Genomic DNA, 25,419 nt, shown 5'->3' with positions numbered 1-25,419 from the left:
ATGACCAGTCTAATAAATAGCCCCATTAATAGGAGACCATTACAGAATGTAGAGGGAAATAATAGGTGCCAAAGGAAGGCAAAAAACTATGGAAACAAATACTTCATTCACTGCCTTGATCTTGAGAAAATAACCCTCTCCCCAAGAAGAAAACATGACATAGAAGGTGGAGACAAGTTAAATGTGAAGTTTTCACAATTGGTATGTTAGAAATACCAAGAATGGAGAGATCAATGTGAATTGTAGTGAAGGAAATTTTATGAAGTTGGCACTTAAGTGGGGCCCTGAAGGATGAGTAGGATTTGGACAGGTGAGAAAGCATTCCAGTTTAACAGGAAAAACATGCACCAAAGCCCAGAGGCCAAGAGAATAGTTTCCATGAGGAAGATGGAAGAAAGCACTCTGACTGGAGCAAAGAATGTTTCCTGGGTACCAGGTTGGCTGAGTAGAGTAGAGCCAGATTAATAGTGGGTATAAAGGTGGGAACTGCTAAGGCCAAGATGAAGATAAAAGAGAAGCTGCAACCTAGTTATGATGATAGTACAACTCTTTCTTTGTTAGAGCATGGAGGGAACATGGTCTGGCTCTGTCATCAAGGCTGAAGTGCAGTGGCACAATAACAGTTCACTGCAGCCTCGACCTCAAGTGATCCTCCCAATTCAGCCTCCTGAGTAGCTAGGACTACAGGTGTGTGCCACCACACTTAGCTAACTTTTCTATTTTTTGTAGAGATGGGATTTCGCCATGTTGCTCAGGCTTGTCTCGAACACCTAGGCTCAAGCAATCCACCCACCTTGGCCTCCCGAAGTGCTGGGATTACAGGTGTGAACAACAGCGCCCAGCAGATAGTACAACTCTTAAACAAAGAAAACTATTGAAGATATACAAAGGAGTAAGAATGAAAGAGAACAGCCTGGGTGCAGTGGCTCATGCCTGCAATCCCAGCACTTTGGCAGGCCGAGGCGGGCGGATCACCTGAGGTCAGGAGTTCAAGACCAGCCTGGCCAACATGGCGAAACTCTGTCTCTACTAAAAATACAAAAATTAGCCAGGCGTGCTGGCAGACGCCTGAAATCCCAGCTACTCAGGAGGCTGAGGCAGGGAGAATCGCTTGACCCCATGAGGTGGAGGTTGCAGTGAGCCAAGATCGCACCATTGCACTCCAGCCTGGGCGACAGAGCAAGACTCCGTCTCCAAAAAAAAAAAAAAAAAAAGAATTGAAGAGAACAATAACAACAAAATGAATAAATAAAATGACCCAGAAGATGGAGAAATAACCTGTGGTACCAATCAACAGGGTTGTTGCTAGGACAGGTACTCAACTTGAAAAGGAGGAAAAGACAAAGTTAAGATGAGAAAGAATAATTTAAGATAAACACATATATTTCCAGATGAAAATTACAGTAACCAAATTCTCCACTGTTGGAGAGGTTATTCTATAAAATTAATTTAATTCCTAGGATGATCATGAGGATGCTTTATCACATGGATATACTGGCTTGAGAGCTGCATACGAAAAATTTGCATTATCCCTTAGGTTAAAGCAAAATTCATCATCATCTCCCTCCTGAAAACTTATTGCACTTGAAGTTCAGAAGATCTGTAACGTCTTCTTAAAAACACTTAGCTGTCTTTGGCCTGATGGTTATAGCATTTTCATACACCACCTTCTCCACCCCAGCTCAATCAGATTAATTGTGCTGACAGAATTATGGAAGTGTTGGATCATGGTTGCAGTGCAATGATTCAATCTGTAGTCCCTGGTGCATATTTTTCAGTTGAACATGTGAAGTAGAAAGTTCAAGGTGGTTGGACAAGTGCCGAGGTATTGCATGACTGACAGTGAACCTGGATTTCAGTACAGTACTTTTTAAAATTTAAATTGCTTTGATAATGGCAAATGCCAACTGAGCAAGGTGGCTCATGCCTGTAATCCCAGTACTTTGGGAAGTCGAGGCAGAAGGATCACTTGAGGCCAGTAGTTCAAAATCAGCCATAACACACTCTAAACTCATTTCTGTAATGTGGAATAATCAACAATCAGTGGGACTTTTACAAGGGTAAAGTCGGAAATAGAATCTTTCAACTGAATTTAGTTTAAATAACCCCTCCTTATTTGCACTAGTTGCTCTTCCAAGTCTGGCAGACGTTCCTGACTCTAGAACAGATCATACTGTCAACATCCCCTCATGATGAGCATGTGACTCTGGGCCAAAGACAAGTTTAAAACCATTTCAAGACCTGTTCAGTTTATGTCATGCTTCTTCAACACTAATAATCTCAATAATTTTTTATCAATCCTACTTCAATAACTAGGAGTAATTGATCCTACCTTGTCAGCGAGAAGAATGCTTCCATCTCTGGTAGAGGCAATTGTTTATTTGCCTTTCCTAATTTTTGTAAAGATTCAATGCCACTTAAGCCCAGGGTCTTTTTGTCTACTACCATCAGACAATCTGTATTACAGCACACAATCTAATTAATTCTCAGGTAATGGCCCTCTCATCCCAGAATCTACAAAGCATTTTTCTTGAAAGGTCGTATACTATCTTTGTCTCTAAAACCTGGCAATTGATTTGGAGGCAAATTGGAGCAAGGTTAGGAAGCTATGGAACAGCTTTAAGAGTGCTGGATTTGGAGTTAATTTTAGGCTTTATAATTTTTTTAGTAACCTTAGACAATTCACTCCTTTTGTGTCTCATTTCCTAATTCTATAAGATGGAGTACTGCCCCTTCAAAGAGGTTTTACGACGATTTAATGACTTTGTAAAAACACAACTACAGTCTTATCTCCATTTACTATGCACCAAGAGAACCACTTATATGTCTGGGTGCCCGTTATTTTCTGAACAATTCAGGAATCATAATGTGACAAGAAAGAGAATATTTGAAATTGGACCCACGAGGTAAAATCCAGGCAGTATAGGTCATTTTCTTCCTGCTAGCATTCTGTTCTTGCTGAGGCTCACACTCAAAGTCAAATAACCTTTGGGTTATTCTTCCCACCCCCATTTCCCCCCAGATGGAGTCTCGCTCTGTTGCCCAGGCTGGAGTGCAATAGTGGCACGATCTCAGCTCACTGCAACCTCCGCCTCCCGGGTTCAAGCGATTCTCCTGCCTCAGCCTCCCGAGTAACTGGGATTACAGGCGCCTGCCACCACGCCCGGCTAATTTTTGGATTTTTTTTTTTTTTTTTTTTTTTTTAGTAGAGACGGGATTTCAGCATGTTGGCCAGGCTGGTCTCGAACTCCTTACCTCAGGTGATCCGCCCGCCTCGGCCTCTCAAAGTGCTGGGATTACAGGGGGGCGCGGCCAGGTTATTCTTAAACCCACTCCCTTGAAGTACCTGCAAAATGCTCACGTGCTGCTCTCTGGCCCGTTTGGAAACTCAGTCCCGTGAGTAGGACGTCCACCTCATTGGTGGTGTTTAAATATTAAGTGTCAAATGCTAGAGACAGTACAAAACCCACCAGAGGGGGCCTTCCTAACACGTTGGCATAAGGATCCAAACGGAATACGGGGATAGGAGAGGTGACCTCGTGCAGTTTCAGGGAGGAGTCCATCACCTGACTGGACTGGGCCTTTCAGGGGGACGAGAACGTATTTCTTCCAACGAAACCTGAATAACCAGCTATCTGCCTGGGACGCCGCGAGGCAGAAGTAGGCGGGCCCATTGACTTAGTGTCAAGGCGGAGGCCGCGCTTCATGCCAGCGGTCACGGAGGCAGCGGAAAGCCGAGCCAGGCGCCTGCGCGCTGGGAAGAGTAGGTTCAGAGTGCATTCCGGAACCCGGGGCGCGGCGCACTGCGCAGGCGGCCGGACTCCGCTCAGTTTCCGGTGCGGCGAACACCAAAGTCCGGGAACTTAAGCATTTTCGGTTTCTAGGGTTGTTACGAAGCTGCAGGAGCGAGATGGAGGTGGACGCACCGGGTGTTGATGGTCGAGATGGTCTCCGGGAGCGGCGAGGCTTTAGCGAGGGAGGGAGGCAGAACTTCGATGTGAGGCCTCAGTCTGGGGCAAATGGGCTTCCCAAACACTCCTACTGGTTGGACCTCTGGCTTTTCATCCTTTTCGATGTGGTGGTGTTTCTCTTTGTGTATTTTTTGCCATGGTGAGTATCTCGAATGCAAAATTGGGGTGGTAAGGAGCTTAGAGATCATTTGCTCGCTTTTGGGCGGGGAGGGGACTGAATTCCAGAGAGTTTATATATGTCCAAGATCACACAGCTGGTGAGTGGCGCAGTCGGGTGGGTGGGGGAGAAGGACTAGGAGTAAAATGTCCTTCTTTAGCACGTCCGTGGGAGTCTCCAAAGAAGTGTGGAGAAAACTTGGCGTCATATTTTCTCATGATTTGGAATGAAACCAGCTAGGCTTGAGTTCCTGCAGCACCATGAAGCGACCGGAGAAGTTATTTCGCCTTTTGGAGCTTTATTTTTTCATCTGCCATTTGGGACCATTAGTAACCCAGGTCATAGGGGTGTAGTGAAGATTGAGATCGTAGTGATTTGCATGTTGCCTGGCAGTAGTAAGTGCTCAACGAAAGCTATTTTTACTATACAGCTGTTTAACCATGAGCAGACCACGCAGCTGTCTCAAACTAAACATGTCCAAAACTGAACTCTTAACAGCTTCTTACCCAAATTTACTTGCCTTGCAGCGTTACCATTTCAGTAAACGCCAACTTTATCCACCGTTACCTCCCAGAAACCTGAGACACTTTGCCCTTTTCTTACACACATCCACATATCCTAAAACACCAAGTTACAAAATTCTGTAGAGTTTACTTGTAAAACCCATGCTCTCCATTTTCATCGCCACTCGCTCTGAAAAGACAATTCTGGCAGAGGGTAAAGGAAGGGAACTTAAGAGAATAGGGCAGGAGGAAGCAGACACCAAATGGAGATGGTGTTAAGAGACAAGCTAAGGAGAAGCAGTGAGATGAAACAGGGCTCCTATGGGAGAAGAGCAGTGTAGCCCATCTAGACAGCTCTCCTGGACTTTGGAGTTGATTGTTCACTCACTGTTAACTCCTTAGTCACCATGCCTATGAGTTACTTCTGAAATTCTCACTTCTTGATAGGCAGTCACTTCTTCTACACCCCCAACCCCCATCCTATATTTTCACCAAGATTTGGGTGTCTTAAGCCTCACTGTCTCATTTCTTGGATGGTGTAGTAAGTTAGAGAAGACAGAGAGGGCCAGGCACAGTGGCTCACGCCTGTAGTCCCAGCTACTTGGGAAGCTGAAATAGGAGGATTGCTTGAGCTGGGGAGGTCGAGGCTTCAGTGAGCTGTGAACGTGCCACTATACTCCAGTCTGGGAGACAAAGCAAACCCTGTCTCAAAAAAAGGGGTGGCAGGGGAGCGAGAGGGATTAATGGGAGGATGGCAAAAGGGATAGGGATTTCTATAAAATTCTCTGTCAAGCCATTTGTAAAGGGAGAGTTTTACTCTCCCTCCCTGTTTTGGTAGAGACTGATAATCTCAAATACAGTGGGTTTTGTGTGTGTGTGTGTTTTTATGACCTGAACTTTCAGCTCTGGATAGAAAATAGAGGCCTTACAAGAAATGTTCTAGGCTTTTCTTTTTATCAATATGTAAATAGGCATAAAGTGTTAAAAACTGGGAAGATAAAGCACATATTGCTGACAAATACTTGCTTTTTACAGACTTGTTCGCTGATATCTAAATTAAGAAGTTGGTTCTTGAGTGAATTCTGAAAATGGCTACAAACTTCTTGAATAAAGAAGACAGGACTCTCAATAGAAGAATTTCACATCTCCAAGGGACCCTTCCTTTCATTTTACACTTTGTTACTAATTTGCAGAACTCTATTAATTGGGTAGGATTTCACCCATTCCTAGCTAAGTTCTTAAAATTAAACCCTTTGGTTCGTGTTTAAAAACTTTCAAACATCTGATGGCTTTACAGGGGCTGAATATAAAAGCATTTGTACTTAAAGGTCTTGTGTATTCATTAAGAAATATAGTAATGTCTTTTAATGTTTTAAGAGTTGATCAGGGTTTACTATGATGCAAGTAATAGGATGATTAATAAGGGAAGGTTTTTATGAATTCAAAAGTCAATTATTCAAAAGCAGGGAAAGATTTTGAGAGAGGGAACAAAGTATTCTTAGATTGCGTAGAAGCTGCTAGGTTCCAGTTTTAATTTTTAGGTTTAGTTGGACTCTGTTATGAAAAGATAGGTTATGGGTGGGCGACAGGTTGATACAGTCTTAGAAAAAGCAGGTAATATCAAAGTATTGGAAAGCTAGCATGCATGCCCTCTTACCTGGGTATCTTCCCCCTTTTTTCCTTTTAAACTCTTGAGCCTCCTATAACGAAGGATTATGTGTTTCAAACCTATTTTTTTTTTACTGTTTCATTAAGTGTGCTTGTGCCCAAAATATTTACTTGTATAATATCTGTAACTTGCTTAAATACTTCAGCAAAGTCAGCATATTTACTCATTCAACAAATATTTGAGCCAGGCATTATTTTAGACACAGCAGTGAACAAAACAAAAAGGCATTCTTGCCTTCATGGAGCTTACATTCTTATTGTTATTTAAATCTAAATGTTATAAAACAAGAATTTATATTCTAGGGTTGATCAGCTAGTATTTAATCAAAAAGGCCACACTCCCATAGCAGCTACTCTAAGCTGTAGTAGCTAATAAAAAATATTAATGTTGGCCGGGCACAGTGGCTCACGCCTATAATCCCAGCACTTTGGGAGGCCAAGGGTGGTAGATCACTTGAGGTCAAGAGTTGTGACACCAGCCTGGCCAACCTGGTGAAACCCTATCTCTATTAAAAAATACAAAAAAATACAAAAAAATTAGCTGGGCATGTTGGCATGCACCTGTAGTCCCAGCTATTTGGGAGGCTGAGGCACGAGAATTGCTTGAATCCGGGAGGTGGAGGTTGCAGTGAGCCAAGATGGGGCCACTGCACTCTAACGTGGGCAACAGAGACCCTGTCTCAAAAAGAAAATATTCCTGTTAGCCCTAAAGGCTTTACATGAGGAATGGTAGAAGTGGTCTTTTGTTTAAATTAGTTGCATTCAGCATATATGAATTGTCTTAAATATTTTGGGGATACTCCCCCGCCTTTTAAACAGGGCATAAGATCTGGTAAACTCTCTGTATATCTTCCTACCTTTCAAAATCGTTCTTAGGGTTAGTCAAGTCTGGAATATAATTGCTGACTATAAAGTTAGCAATTATGCTTTTAAGGTGTTGTCACATCAACCTAAAGAGAACCATCTATGGAAGGTATGGTTGAAACATCTGTAGGAACACAGAACTGGGATTTCACTGAGTTTACCAAATCAACTGTGTGAACTGTTTCTGCACTGCTTGCTAATGGTTTCATCTAATAAATGTTTACTTATATAGCTGAGTTTGGTTTTATTCTAACAAATTACCTGGTGGTGTGATTGTGAGGTGATTAACAGTTCTCACATAGTTTACTGTTAGGTCACACACAGACTTCCGATCATAATCCATACTGCCTTTTTGAGCCTAAAATCAGCCTACTACCACAATTACCAAATATTCTGAAAATTTCTAGTATGGTGAAGATGGAGAGATCTTGGTGTGAAGGTTAATTTTATATGTCATCTTGATTATGCTAGGAGATGCCCAGATTTCTGGGTTTGTCCATGAGGGTGTTTCCAGAAGAGATTAGCATTTGAATCAGTAGACTGAATAAAAAAGAGCCACCCACTCCACTGCGGGTGGGCCAACCCCTTGAGGGCCTAGCTGGAATAAAAAGGCAGAGGAAGGGCAAATTCTGTCTTCTCTCTGCTTGAACAGGGACATCCATGTTCTATCCTTGGACATTGGTTCTCCTGATTCTCTGGCTTTCAGACATGGACCAGGGCCCCTGGTTCTCAGACCTTTGGGTTTGGACTGGAACTACACCATTGGCTTTCCTGGGCTTACTGTCTGCGGAAAGCAGATTGTGGGACTTCTCAGCCTCCATAATCACAAGAGCCAATCCCTCATAATAAATTTATTTCTATATATATCCTGTTGATTCTCTTTCTATGGCAAACCCTGACTTAGTAATATGACATGACTGTAATTGGCATTTTCAAAATGGTGGCAGTATGAAGGCTGAATCTTTCCTATAGGTAAGAAATTGTACCTACCATTAAACTGTGCCATAGCAAGTATAGTGACTGCTTACATTGCCCTCAGTTTGAAGGCTTTTAAGAAGTGGATAAATGGAACGCCAAGAAAAGTTGCAAACTTGCTAAGATAACAAAACAAAAAAGACATCAAAAGAAAATGTGACTTTACTCTGATAAATTCTTTTGTAAATTTCACACCATTTTATATAAAGTGAAATGATTGTTTTAGTAGTTCCTTTTGAAATGAACTGGCTTGTTAGCAGTTGCAAGGGATAGTTTTTAGGGAGCTTAACCTGAACGTTTTAGGATGTAAAGAGCTGCAAATACTCAGTCCGTAAGTGGCATGGGAGTACATTTGGAGACTTCAGCCTGTGAGCTAAGAATATTTTTTACATTTTAAAATGGAGAAAAAAAAAACTTTCATGACATGAAAGTTATATGCAATCTGGATTTCTATGTTGACAAAGTTTTACTGGAAAACAGCCATGCTCATTCATTTACATATTGTTTATGGCTGCTTTCACATTACAAAGGCAGAGTTGAGTAGTTATTACAGAAATATTATGGTCCACAAAGCCTAAATTATTTTCTATCTTTATAGAAAGTTTGCCAACTCCTTTTCTAAGGAGCTGTGCTTTAGACCTTGCTGGAGTTTAACTCCTAGGATCTCCTGTGATAACCGTTTATGATCAGTGAAATTCCAAGTACCCGCGACTTAACATGTCCCAAAATAATCCACGTTGGTGGGAGGGTGACACACAGTTCATGAATGCAAAGAGAAGTCCAATCATATAAACTTAAAAATCAGTTTATCTTAAAATTTTTTTGAATTAGAAGAAATTGATTTCACATGAAAATATAACATTCTGAAGGTAAGTATTTTAAACATTACAACTGTTGGCTGAAATATTTACAAAGTTATAATAAGCTTATAACTGGATGAAAGCATCTATAAAAATAAATAGGCACCCTAGATGTAAAACTTTTACATGAAATAAAATGATTAGTATATATGTATCAATCTGTATCTGGAGTGTTGAATCAACAAAAATAAATGGGCATTTTCTAGTTTGTGTAGTAGTACATGAGTCAGGAGGTTTCAACTGGACAGTACTTAAAAGAGGCAAAACTGGACATTTCTATTTGATATCTACAACTCAACTGAGTTGAAAAGACAAATGTCTGAGACTGCTGTTAAATACAAAAATTAGTTTAAATGTTTCAAATAATACATTTCCAACTCACATCTTAACCAAATAGAAAAAAAAAACTACACAAACTGTGAAAGCTATTAAAAAACTTGAAGCCCATTTTTCTAGTATCTTACAATGTTATAAAAGAAGAAAAACTTTGGTATTTTAAATACAGGTTTACAAACTTTACATTATTTACAAACCCTCCACACTAAAAAATTATGTTAAAAATAAGCTTTCTTAAAACAAAATTAATTTGGCATTCAAGTATTTCTAACTTACGAGAATATAAAGTAATGATCACTCACTATTATAGTTTAAAAAGGCTAGTAAAAACTATAGGCAGAAGATAAAATTTGGCCAAGACTTGGTAACTGGGTGAAGTTAGACTTTTATAAGCAATTATTTTCTGTTTAACAGTATTCACATTAAATTAGTTACAACATTTTAGAATGTTTTAACACGATTTACGCAATCAGTCAAGTGGCTACATTTACTAGTTTATTGAATATGAGGTTTATCCATTTAGCAATGTAAGGAAAACTTTAGTTCTGTTTCTCAGTTATCAGGAGTGAACATAAAACTATTCTAAACCACAATTAGTTTACCAGCATAGTACAAAATAAAATGACAACTAACGAAATAAAGCAATTAAAGTAACTTATTTTTACTCATAAGGTTACCATAATAATAAAAATTCCTTTAATTTTCAAAGCACTCTTCATGAAAAGTAGTTGGGGTAAAATTACTATTTGTTCAAAGTAGAATAAAAGGGAAGGATGCTCTAATTAAACATTTTATTAAAATTAAACTCTCTATATGAAAGGTAGAAATTTAATCTGGAAACCTAGATAGATTTTCAAATTCAGATAAAATGGGTTGACAACCTATAAGCAGGTAATATTACAGCAAAGAAAATGTAGGCAATTACAGTGACATTCCCAATAAGAGGGTGCCCTACATTAATTCCTAACACTGGTGGTTAGCAGCCCAAAGTAAACCAAACCAAAATAAAGACCTTTCACATTTCATATAAAATTAGAAAAAAAGTAACGAGATAAATAAATACACTAAAGTTTAAGTATTTTAACTTTTTAACTTACATGGCTAAAGTAGCATTTATGAATACCTATAATAGTCAAAGGCCTAATTTATCTTAACTAGATATTCTGAAGACAAAAATTCTAGGAGCAAAATTAAATTCCATCCGATCTTGAAAACTTACAAATTGTTAATCATATAAGGCTTTTTTTCCCCAAATGCTATCAAATTCATAAGTCATTTTTTTTAAAGACACTTAAAGGGATCATATGCAGTGACTATCATAGAAGTCAAAAACAAATGGGTGAAGCCCTTTTCTGGTTACCCATTAGAAAGTGCTTCTTCATAAAGCAATTCTTTGACAAAAAAGTACCAGGCTATGTATCACCTGGTACTTTTCAATTAGCATAGTTTATAATCTCCATACATGAGTACTGGTTAGTTTAATACTTCCCAGTCTACTGGCCACAAAATAGGGGGACAAATTTAATTTTTATTCAACTGTAGCATATGACAAATGAATTATTATATCTCCCTGATTTTCTATTTTTCACGGCACGCCAAGACTATTCAAAGGGAATTTCTAAAATATCTAAGATATTGATCATAAAATTATATATGTGTATACACATATACACATACATATGTATAGTGATTAACAACTTTAAAAATGCCACAGGCTTTAATTTTATGTATCACTAGGTTTGGTCAGTAGGTTCCTATTATATTTAAATGGCCTCTGAGAAGTAAAAGTTGGTCAGTTTTACCAGTTATCTATTACAATGTATGCTAGGTTTATATCTTTGTTCAGAAGGGCAGCTTGAACCAAGATTATTATGTAACACAGGTCTAGTCCTTTTTCACTCTAAGATAGTGAATTATTACAAAAGCCACTGCTCTCTGGAAAAGAGAGCTTGGGCCTCTGATGGTATTTCAATCTATATGTATCCGTCATGCAGCTATCAACTGAAAAATAGGTAGTTAATGAAACTGTCTCATTTGGACAGGTAGAAATAGAGTCTAGTTCTGGTTGGCAAAATGCATCAATGGCACCTGAGTTTGCCTGAAAATCGTTAGTTGAGGAGCTGGATGGACAGTTTGGTGTGTTGCCAAAACATTCTCTCACTTGAAATGTTTCTTTATGTCTTTCATCATTCATATGTGTACTCACTTCTAAACTTGGTTCTGAAGCTGTACTTAAACTGTGCTTCGGAAGATGAGAGGTAGCTTTAAACACCTCTGTAAGTTTGACATCAGGTGTAGATTCGCTTTTCTCTGACTGTGGCACACTGGTTATAGCATATTTCTTTGGTGGCAAAGGGGGTGGTAGATTCTGGCAAAAAAGTTTTGGCATCTGACACCCATCAGATCTGCTGGCTGACCGAATTATACATTCTGTGGATAGAGAGTTCTCAAAGTAACATTGATCCATGATATTTTGTTGCTGGATGAGAGGAGCAGTTTCTGGCTTTAACCCAACAGTTCTTAGGTGTGAAGACCATAATGAAGATGGTTCATTACTGTTCACTCTCTTCCCAGAAGCAGAGTTATCAACGTGAAAAGGCAAACCTGTTCTCTCAGAATTTTCTATATTAAGCCACTCAGAAAATTTGCATTCATTCGGTTTTTCAAGTTTCTGTTCATCTGACTGGTGGATATGTTCTCTTGCATTATGGTCCTTGGGTATTTGTAGACTGGATGAAGGAAATAACTTTCCATTGTCTTCATGTACATGTGATCTGAAATATGAAAATAAAAACAAAGCTAGAACACCCTATGCAAATATATGAAACTAGGGGAAAATAAACATTTGTTTTGTAGTTTGATTTTCCCAAAATACAGTTTATATTATTTTTACAACAAAACCACAAAAATGGAAAGATATTTGCAACCATTAACATTTTCAACTCTCTCCAAATCCAAACTCTTTATGTCAGAATATGTGAGTGTTTACCAGAAACACCCATCATTACCAGAATCCCATTTCTAATAATTAGAAATATAATTTTAAAAACTCACTTCAACTCAAAACACTAAAATTACATTTATTTGTAACAATATATAGAACTTGAGGAAAGTGTTAACAGTCAAACAGTACTCTAAAACATCTCCCCACCAACATTCCAAACTTTAAAGGCAATAGAGGTAGAAGTACTTAAATTTTGATATATAGCAGTATAGTATATTAATTACTTTATTATATTTTGCAAATATATTTATATTATATTTGAGGGTCTTGCTATGTTGCCTAGGCTGGCTTTAAACTGGCCTCAAGTGATCCTGCTGCCTCAGCCTCCTCAGTAGCTAGGATTACAGACATGTACCACCACATCACACCTGGCTGTATAATAGTTTAAAATAATGTAATCAAGATTATCTTTAGGTAATAGTTATTTTCTAAGGTGAGGGTAAATGATGCCATATTGCAAATTATTTTTCTTATATGAATTATGTGGAATTGAATTAGAATGCAATGGTTAAAGAGAGTTGAGGATTTGCTAGGTAGATGGAGCTATAATCAAATCTCAGCTCGATAGTTTTGGTCACATTACTTAACCTAAGCTTCAAATTTTCTCTTGTAAAATATCACCTACCTCATAAGAATGCTGTGAGGATTGAAACAGACAATCAGATACTGTACCTGGTACTTTGTAAGCTCTCTATCCTTAGATCCACATTGTATTAATGATTCCCAATAAGAAAGGCATCTCAATACTATAGACCCATTGCTTTCAAAGTAATAATATGTATTTATGCCCTTCTGATAAACAACGTGCCTATAATACATGTATTTAGGGAAAAAAAATATGGTTACCTTTTTATCAAATGATTTTTTATTTGTAAATGTGATTCTGGGTGGAATTCATGAGATTTATAGCCTGCTTCCAAATTCCTGAGTTCTTTTCTAAAGCCTAGGGTTGGGTGGGGTGGGGAGAAGAGATGAGGAAAACAAAATTATTTAAATTATGTTACAGAATTTATTTCATTTATACTTTTCTATATTTACATAAAGCTTTCTATAAAAGGTAATCTCTTCCAATTTAAAAAAATGAATTCTTTAAGACCCAACTCAAAATAACAGTTCTTTTTGGAATGCTTTATGCAAAATTTCTTCAGTTTATTATCACTTGAGGGTGTCATCCATGATGGAATAGTGCTGTTCCTGCTGGGTCATGCAGATCTGTGTATGTGTTTTCCCTGTTACTTAAGACAAGATCTTTACTGACCAAGTGTTAACAGTGAAAAAAACCCTGCATTTGAAGATCGCTGGCTTGAGTTGAAGTTTGGACTCACTAATTATGGGTAGGTAAACAAGCCTTTTAACCTCTTAAAATCTCAGTTCCCTCACTTATATAATGGGATAATGATAATCCATTTTACCTACCTCATGGGAATATTAGGAATTTAAACTGAATTAAAATTGGTAGGAGGTTATTATGATAGCATATAAAATATACCACTACTAATTAGCTACCATTTATTGACTGCTTACTCAAGTTGTGAGAAGTGGATATTTCATTTAATCTTTACAATAACCTTATAAAGAAATGACTAGCAACTTGATGTTACAGATGAGAAAACAGTGGCTTAGAAAGGTTAAGTATATATATCGATATACTACAGAATTAGATCTTTATGACTCAAAAGTCCGTGCTCTTAACCATGATGCCATAATGCTTCCTAATAATTGATACTTAACTTCTCTCCTGGTTCTGACATTTAATAGGCACCAAATAGTTTTTTAATTTAATTTTAATGAAGTCTTATGAAAAAAGTTATACTAATTTACAGTGTGACTTTTGTTACTTCCAAGTGTCTTCCAAGCCTGCTACATGAGATTTCAGATACCAAATTAATCATTTTTTCTCTCTCTCTAATTATAGCTAGCTATTGATTAGAACCTAAAGGTCAATATGGCACCACATAAAATACAGCAGGTCTATTTCCCTCTGAACAACGATTCTAGGAGAATTCACTGGAGAGCCTTTAACAATATTAATGTTCAGAGTAAAACATTATCTACATTTGGATTTCTCTCTACAAAACATGACCTTAACTAAAACAGCTCTAATAAAAATGACTATTGCCCTCTAATCTTTAATACAATTAAATTAAATTAATGTCCAGACTACAGATAAAGTAGGCCCAACTGAACAAACAAAACCCTGAAAACTAAAAATTATTTTAAAAGGTAGAGATGAAGAAAAGGGAACTAAGACATTTGGATTTGTACAGGAGTTTACCTAACACCATCTCAGTTTTTGATTCCCCCTTATGGGAGAACAAGTGCTTTATATCTGAGAACCTGAAGGTCTACAGGGAGCTTTTTCCTTTACTAAGGCACAAGGGTCCTGGGGCACCAATATACTGATAGAAAAGTCACAACCACCAATGTATCAACAAAGCACAAAAGTATCTTTAATTACTTTGTGAACATCATCACCCACTTATCGTAGAAATGAGAAGCAGAAAACTGTATAAAATTATTTTAGTCATGTACCACCACAATAATGATAGCTACAGTTTATGGAATACCCAATATGTACCAAGTCTTAAGATTATGCTTGTTCAGCAATTCTCGAAGTGTGGCCTTGGACCCCGGGAGGTCTCCGAGACCCTTTCAGAGGGTCTATGAAGTCAAACTATTTTCATGATAATATTAAGATGTTACTTTACTTTTTGACTGTGTTGCCATTTACACTGATGACGCAAAAACAATAATGGGTAAAAATGTTAGCATAATTCAAGGCAGTAACACTAAACTGTACTAATTGTATTCTTCATTGCCATATACTTGTGTTTTTTAAGCCAGTTTTACTTAAAGAATGCTTGATGAAACAGTAACAATTATTTTATTAATTTACTTCATTTGCACATCTTTTTGTTATTCTATATGAGGAAATGGGAAATATGCATAAAGCACTTTTGCTGTGGTAATACTAAGCATGACACCTGTTTGAAGAAAACTTGTATCCACCACAAGTTTTGCAACTTCCCAATACTTATAAAGACTTTCTGCTAGTATCTATGGTGATAGTAACAAAAATAGTTTTTAGAAAGATATTAGTGAAATGTATCAACACTTGGAAGCCCTGCATAACTCAGCAAACCAGTATTTTTTTTTTTTTTTTTTTTTTGAGACAGAGTTTCGCTCTTGTTGCCCAGGCTGTAGTGCAATGGCACGATCTCGGCTCACTGCAACCTCCGCCTCCCAGGCTCAAGCAATTGTCCTGCCTCAGCCTCCTGAGTAGCTGGGATTTCAGGCATGCGCCACCACGCCTGGCTAATTTTTTATATTTTTAGTAGAGACGGGGTTTCTTCATATTGGTCAGGCTGGTCTCGAACTCCAAACCTCAGGTGATCCGCCAGCGTCGGCCTCCCAAAGTGCTGGGATTACAGGTGTCAGCCACCGTGCCCGGCTGCAAACCAGTATTTTTTAAATGACCCTACATGGATGTTACAAAATCATGCATGAGTAAAGTATCCATTCAAAGTGCAAGACAGACTGATGTATTTTAATGTAATGGAGGACGAAAAGTTAAATACTATGGTTTCAGATTTCACACTGCATTAAAGAAACTACTACTTGGTGTAGTGTCAAAGAATAATATCCACAATTTTTAGGAAAAGCTATTAAAATATTCCTATTTCCAACTGTATTATCTGTGTGTAAATGGGCTTTCTTCATACATGAAAACATCACAACAGTCTGATGCAAAAACAAGAATCCAGCCATCTTACATGAAGCCAAGCATTAACTGAGATTTGAAAGCATAAAACAATGCCATTCATCTCACTAAATTTTTGTTTTCAATAGTTAATTTTCATTTAAAAATGTTATTTGTGTTAGCATGTACTGGGTTTATTTCTTTAAATGAATAAATATTTTGAAAGTTTCAGTTTTAGTGCCTAATCTAGCAAATGTTGATAGACATAACCTATATAAGACATAACCTATATAAGACATAACCATAACAAAAGCTCTTTTAGGTCATAAATCCTTTTCTAAGATTATAAAGATATCTGAGGCCCAAAAGTTTGACAACTACTGTTCTAGTTGGTAATAGTTGTCTTTTAAAACATCAGTCACAACTGTTCTGTGAAACAATTCCCCTTTTTACACTTGAGGAAACTTAGGCTCAGTGAAGTTAAGTGACCTAATCTATATTCTATATATCTGGTAAGTAGGAGCATTTAAACCAATCCAGGGTTCACTCCAAAGCTAGTGCTCATGCCACTGCACTATGCCATTAACATACAAAGACATTATACTAAATCTCCTTCTGATGAAACTAGGCCACTAGTGTGAACATCAAATAACATGCTGATGCCCATAGAAGATAGCAAAATATATGGCATTAGCATGAACTGTCAATTAATCGTCTACACTTCTGTAACATTTCTAGTAAGTTTTTCTGCATTCTCCCGTATTTTTAGTTGACATTTTCATCATGTTCATTTATCTCATTTTCCTCTCATTCTCCTGTTTCTACTTTACTGTACACCAAATCTATGAAGACTGCAAAGAAAACAAAGTTATTAAAGCAGTGATTTTATTTTTTAAACAATAAGTGTTCTTTATCTTAGATATTTTTTAGGTATTGCCCTATAGGGGAAAAATAATCTATATTTGATTATGATCAGGCTCTGCAAGTTAAATCTTGGAAGCAATTTCCAAGAAAGAGTCATGTAATATACATGAGAATTTAATACCCTCTATGCCAACATCGCTCCATATAGTAAATAATAAAAACTTAAGATGGTAGAATGAGAGGAACTATAAATCTGGCATTCATTTAAGATTTAACACGTTTACTTCCACTAAATTGCTGTAAGCGCTCTGATTATATACGTGCCTTTAAAAAAAAAAATTTGCCCAGAAGTTAACACAGTATCTAGCATACAAAAGACATTCAAATGAAGGTCTGCAGAATAAACAATTGCCTCAAAAACACAGTTTTACTTCTTTTAAGTCACCTCCACCCTGCCCATCATGTTCCCAACTCAGTGGTGCAAGACAAGTTAAGTATGAATTGAGACAAATCTTATCTTTCCCTCCCACTTAAGTCTATAAGTGCTATACTCATAACACTTTTAAAAAGCAGTAAAATTTATCCCAGAGTCTCTCTAGAAGGAATATATTATTTTTCATGTTTAAGAAAATCACTGTGGGTAAGCCTGACACACTGCCTGAGGCTCGAAAACTTTGCCAATCTTTTCAACAGCTATTTTATGATTAAAAAAAGATGTGACAAGAAATAAGATGTCAAAAAGAACTTCAATAATTTGTCAATGTTCACAGCTTAATTTTTAAGTTGAAATGTAATTTGCTACCCAGTGTGATTTTTAACTTCATATTATTAGCCAATTCATAATTTATTCACCAATTCATAATTTCAAGTTTAATATTCACAAACAAGAAACAAGTAAATATTTAGTTCTTAAGTAATTCTTTACTTTTATAAATTATTCACACAATGGGCAGCAGGAGGCAGCATAGGTTTTATGAGCATGTTTGAAATTTTAATATCACTGTGGCAGGCATTCAACCAAGTGGTTTGACTTCAGAATTCCAACTAACTTAAAAATAGATATGTTATTTTTCTCTTCTGCTGACATAGACATCCATGTGTCTTTGTGAGGAATTTTGGCTCCAGGTTATTCGCAAATCTAAGTCCAATTTTAACGCTTTGACACAGAAAAAAAAAACTCAGTATCAAGGCAAGAAACTTTAATAATGCCCATTTTGATTCTGTATACAAAAAAACCCAAAGCAGAGTATTCAAGAAATCAAAATATATATTTCATCTAAAAAAAAGACCTATGTTTAAAATAGACATATATATATATTTACAAACCCTAAACATTAAACAGCAATAATCAAATCAATGACTGAATTTACAATAAAAATACATTTGAAATAAATTTGAATATTTTAGAAAAATCAGAAAACTTTAACTAGATAAATATTTATGGATAAATTTACTACATACTAAAAGGAGTAGAGAGATACTTTAATATGTAGTAATAATCTATACTATCTGAAACCTAAATTTGGGGATTTTACAAAATAATAAAGCAGGAGTCAATAAATGCTTTTTGCACTTGGATTATAATTTAAAGGAAAAGCAAATATTGCTATTTTGCTACAAAGCAAATTTCAATCCCAGAAGTTTAGTTTTAAAAAAGTACATAGGTAGCCATTTGGTGGTCCTGGGTAGGCCACAGCAAGAGAAGAGATTATGTGTTACCAGTTTGTGAAATTCTTAGAGAAAAAATGTTTAAAATGCATAGAAAAAAAATCGGCTGACAAAAGTACTTCTCTAAATATACTTTCTAATGTATTTATCTTAAATGAACAAACTTGGTAGTTTGCCAAAAACATCTTAGAGAAAACTTATGTATATGTATAAACACTTCTGACAAAATTTTTTATTGACTTAATTCTAGGATGTAACAACATTAAGGACAGTATATTTCACTTAAGAAAGTGGAGGTACAGACTATTTGTACAAGAAGAAATAAGGGACTTAACAGATTTTTAAACCACTGATTAACTTCTTTCACTCTTATTTGTTATGTCCCAGATCATGACTCTCAGCATTAACTAATCCTGACTTCTAGGATCAACTGAGATTAAGCCAAGTATTGCAGACTCTGGAAGCAAATGGCAAAAGTTCTTGAAAGACCTAATAATTCTTTTGTGATCTGTTACATATGATCTATAAATATCCTAACCTACTATGTACTTACCTCAGTAGATAACCGTACCTCATAAAAAAAAGAAAGTCCATTAGGTATAAACACTTCAGCTGTTCTACCTAACACAAATACACACTAATCAGTATCTGCTCTCATCTTTCTCTCCTTCATCACAGAAAAGCTGCCATCCTTTTCATTCAAATTCTGTCTTTACCTTGTTTCCTTCTCACTCTGCCTAAAGGGTCTTACTCCATCAATTACTGTTCTGTTCTATTCTTCATGCCTTTCTCTCCCTCTGTACAACATTAGTTCCTTATCTTCTGCAATATAAATACCAAGCATGTCCACTTGAAAACAAACAAAACAAAACGCAAACTAAGCATTTAGTTTCATTTTCTCCTCTAGGTATGCTATTCACAGCAAACGTTTGGAAAGACAGACAAAAATTCATTTCTTTACTTCTCTTGCTTCCTGCTGTAAAAACATAAAGTCTTAGAGATTTTCATGGTCAAAAGCACATTGCTCTAAGAACTTTGCAATAGGTGTCCTCAGTTAATATGAAAAAGTACATAATGTACTTCAAGGGTTTTTTATTGTGGTAAAATATACATAACAAAATTTATTATTCTAACTATTTTTAAGTGTACAGTTCAGTGGCATTAAGTACATTCACACTGCTGTGCAACCATTAGTCTACTGTAATCTTTTAACTTTTTACTTGGAAATAAATTTTCAAAATTCAGAAAAGTTGAAAGATTTAAAAAGTATAAAACATACTTTTTATAAGAAGAAATCATTTCTTCTGTCTCGAATGTAATTTAAGGCATGTGAAATCCCTCCGCTACAATTCCATTTTAAAAAGGGGGCTAAAACATTCCAAATGGCATTGTGGCAATTTAAACAATGTTCCCAAATATAATGGCTTTAGGCAGTTTAGGGATGGATATTTGCAGCAGAATTCATCATGACATAGGCAGACAAGCCTATATAATATCTCTATTAATGGAAAAAAAGCAGTATATTATATCCTTTCTCCAGATTCAGCTATTATTAACATTTTAATAATAGGGTTTTTTTTTTTCTGGACCATTTGAGATTAAGTTACAAACATGGCCCTTTACTTCTAAATACCTCAATTCTACTTCAATCTTGCGTCTATGTCTAATGTTCCTCAAACACTGCTTTTACTATACCACTAATAAATGCTAAATCAAACTGGCACTTTTTAATCCTTATTCTGCTTAATCTATGGACACTCTTCCCCTGAAAGATCTACACTTCTCTGTTTTTCCTTTGATAACCCCATCTCCAATATTTTCTCATATCTTTCCAGCTCCCCCTTCTCATTCCTTTCTACAGTTGCTCCTTCTCTCTAGCTTTAGCTCACTTCTCTTCCTCAGCAAAGCCAATGTTCCTTACTTTGTCTATTTCTTGCCCTTCGATCTCCAATTTTCCTGAAGGATCCTGTCTGTGTCTGTGGCATTCAATTCCTATATAGGTGGATGGTTATTAAATATATAATATTTCCTGAGTTTTAGACTTATATTCCTAACTGCCTAATAATGCTGTTTACCTAGATGATAAACTCAACAAATTAAAATATAAACTTGGCATCCTTCCACCCCCAAAATCTGTTCCTTCTTCCTATATTCCCCATTTTGCTAAATAGTAAATCTAGTTGTATACATCCCAAATACATCTATCCCTGCTTCCCTTTCTCTCATTTGGTACGTGTCACAAAAGCTAACTAATTATCCTGCCCACATACGCTTATCATCTCTCAAATATTTCTTGACATTGGTACTGCCCCCAACTTTTCTCTCCTAGGCTATTACAATCATCATCTAACTAATTTTTCTCCCACTGTCCCAAATTTATCCTCTATACTACCACCACCACAGTCTTTTCCAAAATGCAAATTACAGTATACCATTTTTCTTATCCTTTGGTGCCTCTCCATTTCCTCTATGATTAAAAAATAGCACAAATTTTCAGCATAATTTCGCTTCTATCCCTGTTGCCATTATCCCATAATTCCATGCATGCACTTCTGCCCTGCATATACCAAACTACTTGTGTTCTTCAAATATGTGATGCTTTCTCCTGACAATGTTTTAAACATATCATTTCTTCTGTCTTGAATATAATTTAAGGCGTGTGAAATCCCTCCACTACAATTCCATTTTAAAACAGGGGCTAAAACATTACAAATGGCATTGTGGCAATTTAAACAATGTTCCCAAATATAACAACTTTAGGCAGTGTAGGGATGAATTTTTGCAGCAGAATTCATCATGACATAGGCAGACAAGCCTATATAATATCTCTATTAATGGAATAAAAAAAGAAATAACGGTGGCATTATTATAGATTTTGGTCCTCTACCATTAAATATACTTGCATAGACTAATATTAAAAATTGACAAAATGTCAAGAAAATATGAAAGTAAGAAATTTCTAAGGCTCTTTAAATTTTAAGTCTTTTAGCTATTGATATAAAATGATTCTATAGGTCAGTAATGTAAGTGTGCCCTCATTTTATAAATAAGAAATAGGAATGACCAAGAAAATCATATATAGTCACAAAATTATAATAAATTGTCCCTTATTGGGGGAAAAAACCATGCACAGCAAGTTTTTAATTTGGGAAAAAATTCCTATATCACTTTTCCACATATTCTCAGTCCCAGACTGGGGGAAGGGAATACATAATACCACAAGGCACAACACAAACAGATGTTCTGAAGTCAAAGACTGGCTTAGAGAACCGTAGTAGGCTTTGAAGTAGAAAGTTTATGAAATCAGAAATAACTTTAAAATAGTATAATTTATTTAGTTAAATAAAGAGTGGGTTACACAAAACCACAATATGATACCTATTAAAACAGAAAATAACAAGTGCTAGTGAGGATATGGAGAGACTGGAGTCCTTATGCACTGCTGGTGGGAATGTAAAATGGTGCAGCTGCTGTAAAAATAGTACAGCAGTTCTTGAAAACATTAAACATATAACCACCACAGGACCCAGCAACTGCACTTTTGGGTATATATTCAAAAGATTTCAAAGTAGGAACTCAAACAGACATTTGCACACTAATATTCATTGCAGCATTATTCACAATAGCCAAAGGATAATAACAACCCACATGTCCACTTACAGATGAAAGCATAAACAAGATGTGGTATATAATACAATAGAATGTTACTCAGTCTTAAAAAGGAATGAGATTCTGATACATCTACAACATGGAGGAACCCTGAAGTCATCATGCTAAGTGAAATAACTCACACACAAGAGGACAAATATCATATGGTTCCACCTATATGAGGTACCTAAAATAGTCCAATTCACAGAGACAAAAAGTAGAATGGTGATTGCCAAGGGCTGGGAGGAGGGGAGAATGGGGAGCTGTTTAATGGGTAGAGAACTTCAGTTTGAGAAGATAGAAAAGTTCTGGAGATGGATGGTAGTAATCGTTGCACAACAGTGTGAATATACTTAATGCCACTGAACTGTACACTTAAAAATAGTTAGAATGGCAAATTTGGCTATACATATTTTACCACAAAAAAGCATTTTTAAGTGCATCACACACACACTTTCATATTAAATGAGGAAACCTCCTGCAAAGTTCTTACAGCAATGCACTTCTGACCATCAAAATCTCTACGATCTTGTGTTTTTATAACTATCAGGAAGCAAGCATCATTTTGTAACAAGTACTGAACTTGCAGTTATTGTTCAATCTCACTGACTTTTGCTATGATTTCTGGCCAACCCTTTACTGTTTCCTGTAATACTTGGTTACCAAACTTATCAGATTTTATCAGGCGAGACATTCTAATATGGGAAAGGAAGGTTATTTCCTTAATATAAGTGTTTCCTTCTGATAGTATACCATTTGATGAAAACAAAATAATTTAACATTTAATCACATTCTTTGTCTGCAAACTGAAAAATAATCCCCACAAAAGCCTTAAGCATAACAAAGACTAAAAAACTTTAAAATTTGCTGTTCATTGCTCTTTTATATTGTGAAAAATTATATCCCTTCTACTCCTCTGAATTATAAAATTTGAAAACATTGTCTTTGATTGCAACATAATAATCCCTTTGCTAATCATCTTCCTTGACTTCTCTCGCCCAAATTCTTCAGGTATGTACTCCCAATAGGAACCCTGAATCCTGTATACGTTCAAATATCTAACTTTCTTTGCTTCTGGGCTGTTATGTGTTGCTAACAAATCGCCTATAATAATCCCACACCATTGCATAGTTATTGGTGCCAAATTGAACTTTTCCAGAAGGCTCTTTATCAATCTTTCTATGTGTTCTTAACTACTATGGCAGTCATTAGAGTTGTTCACACATACTTCCATTCAATTCCAAGCACCTGTAAAATTGCACTTTTCTACCTTCTCTGAAATCAGGCCTGGTTAGAAGACTAGCTCTGGTCAATGATACAGAAGTGGAAGTGCATGTGTCACTTCGGGTTTGAAGTTTTAAGAGTTGGCACGTGATTCTCCACAATATATCTTCCTTTATGTCCTCCTCACCCATATCCCCTTAGCCTGGGATCCTGAGTGACTCCTAAGAAGAGACTACACTGACCACCTCTGGACTTGTATTGTCAGCAAGAAACAAACTTGAGTTAACACCTTGAGATTTTGAAGATACTACCATTGCATAATCTAAAACCTACCTATCCTGATAGAGTTTCCCCTTTTCTCATAGCTTTCCCATCTTTTAAAAGCCTTCAAGTATGAATGCTCTCAACTTCCCTCATCATTACTCATAAACTTATCAGTAACAGGACCATTCTTATTTTCTTTACGCTTACCTCAATGGACCATTCTCTTTTTATGCCTATTTCCCATAGACATAAAAGGTAGGAGGTAAATAAAGTCAGAAAGACCAACAGTCTACAGCCAGTTTCTAAGCTATCAGAATATGACATTTTTCTTTGCAAATATAGAAATATACCTTCTGTTAAGTAAAAGTAAAGTGTTAACAAGCCACCATAGACAGATACTCCTGCCTATCTGGGTCTCAAATCACAGTTTTAAGGGCTAGTATCAAAAGCAATGTGTTCAAGGGTCCCTAATGTGGACACTTAAAATGCAAACTGCTACCAAAAAAAAAAAAACATTGAAAGACTTCATCATCTAAATCAAAAAAGGAAGCAATCTAATGCTATCTTTAATAAGAGACATATCCAAACAGCACATGAAAAAAGGCTGCAAACGGGGGAGGAGCCAAGATGGCCGAATAGGAACAGCTCCAGTCTACAGCTCCCAGCGTGAGCGACGCAGAAGACGGGTGATTTCTGCATTTCCATCTGAGGTACCGGGTTCATCTCACTAGGGAGTACCAGACAGTGGGCGCAGGCCAGTGGGTGTGCGCACCGTGTGCGAGCCAAAGCAGGGCGAGGCATTGCCTCACCTGGGAAGCACGAGGGGTCAGGGAGTCCCCTTTCCGAGTCAAAGAAAGGGGTGACGGACGCACCTGGAAAATCGGGTCACTCCCACCCGAATATTGCGCTTTTCGGACCGGCTTAAAAAGCGGCGAACCACGAGATTATATCCCACACCTGGCTCAGAGGGTCCTACGCCCATGGAATCTCGCTGACTGCTAGCACAGCAGTCTGAGATCAAACTGCAAGGCGACAGCGAGGCTGGGGGAGGGGCGCCCGCCATTGCCCAGGCTTGCTTAGGTAAACAAAGCAGCCAGGAAGCTCGAACTGGGTGGAGCCCACCACAGCTCAAGGAGGCCTGCCTGCCTCTGTAGGCTCCACCTCTGGGGGCAGGGCACAGACAAACAAAAAGACAGCAGTAACCTCTGCAGACTTAAGTGTCCCTGTCTGACAGCTTTGAAGAGAGCAGTGGTTCTCCCAGCACGCAGCTGGAGATCTGAGAACCGGCAGACTGCCTCCTCAAGTGGGTCCCTGACCCCTGACCCCCGAGCAGCCTAACTGGGAGGCACCCCCCAGCAGGGGCACACTGACACCTCACACGGCAGGGTACTCCAACAGACATGCAGCTGAGGGTCCTGTCTGTTAGAAGGAAAACTAACAAACAGAAAGGACATCCACACCAAAAACCCATCTGTACATCACCATCATCAAAGACCAAAAGTAGATAAAACCACAAAGATGGGGAAAAAACAGAACAGAAAAACTGGAAACTCTAAAACGCAGAGCGCCTCTCCTCCTTCAAAGGAACGCAGTTCCTCACCAGCAACAGAACAAAGCTGGATGGAGAATGACTTTGACGAGCTGAGAGAAGAAGGCTTCAGACGATCAAATTACTCTGAGCTACGGGAGGACATTCAAACCAAAGGCAAAGAA

The 25,419-nt window shown here is 37.2% G+C and overlaps 2 protein-coding genes across 35 annotated transcripts in view, besides 2 other annotated features; one reads left to right on the top strand and one right to left on the bottom strand.

Annotated features, from left to right (window-relative positions):
• On the top strand, positions 1–8,027 carry ARLN (allregulin). Of its 2 annotated transcripts, NM_001170330.1 has the most exons (3): positions 1–201; positions 3,713–4,110; positions 5,667–8,027. In NM_001170330.1, coding segments are annotated over exons 1-3 (600 nt in total). In that variant the 3' UTR covers positions 5,668–8,027. The 2 variants fall into 2 exon arrangements, with proteins under 2 accessions (NP_001163801.1, NP_001001701.2); NM_001001701.4 differs by lacking the exon at positions 1–201 and having other exon boundaries at positions 3,801–4,110.
• Positions 3,828–4,057: an enhancer, noted in NCBI's record as "active region_21855". NCBI's record gives its function as "activates an Ori minimal core promoter by ATAC-STARR-seq in GM12878 lymphoblastoid cells {active_cell/tissue: GM12878}" and the evidence as "EXISTENCE:reporter gene assay evidence [ECO:0000049][PMID:35858748]".
• Positions 4,158–4,207: an enhancer, noted in NCBI's record as "active region_21854". NCBI's record gives its function as "activates an Ori minimal core promoter by ATAC-STARR-seq in GM12878 lymphoblastoid cells {active_cell/tissue: GM12878}" and the evidence as "EXISTENCE:reporter gene assay evidence [ECO:0000049][PMID:35858748]".
• A 900-nt stretch (positions 8,028–8,927) lies between the features above and the next one.
• USP53 (ubiquitin specific peptidase 53) overlaps positions 8,928–25,419 on the bottom strand; it is an 82,918-nt gene continuing 66,426 nt past the window's right edge. For 24 of the 33 annotated variants that reach the window (XM_017008313.2, XM_047415829.1, XM_047415828.1 and 21 more), the window contains 2 exons: positions 13,185–13,281; positions 8,928–12,108 (listed from right to left, as the gene is read on the bottom strand). In XM_017008313.2, the coding sequence (XP_016863802.1) occupies positions 11,235–12,108; positions 13,185–13,281 (971 nt within the window). In that variant the 3' untranslated portion in view covers positions 8,928–11,234. The remainder of the gene's footprint in view (positions 12,109–13,184; positions 13,282–25,419) is intronic. The other 9 variants (XM_047415834.1, XM_047415837.1, XM_005263077.5 and 6 more) reach the window with 1 other exon arrangement.

The sequence above is a fragment of the Homo sapiens genome, chromosome 4 (genome assembly GCF_000001405.40).
Source record: "Homo sapiens chromosome 4, GRCh38.p14 Primary Assembly".
NCBI classification, from domain to species: Eukaryota; Metazoa; Chordata; class Mammalia; order Primates; family Hominidae; genus Homo; species Homo sapiens.
This window is presented reverse-complemented; position numbering and strand designations above follow the sequence as displayed.

What these genes read in the sequence shown, in the direction of transcription:
- ARLN (NM_001170330.1), top strand. Translation starts at nt 1, where the DNA reads ATGACCAGTCTAATAAATAGCCCCATTAATAGGAGACCATTACAGAAT. An exon ending in ATGTGAAGTTTTCACAATTG is followed by an intron (nt 202 to 3,712) that starts GTATGTTAGAAA and finishes GCTTCATGCCAG; the next exon opens with CGGTCACGGAGGCAGCGGAA.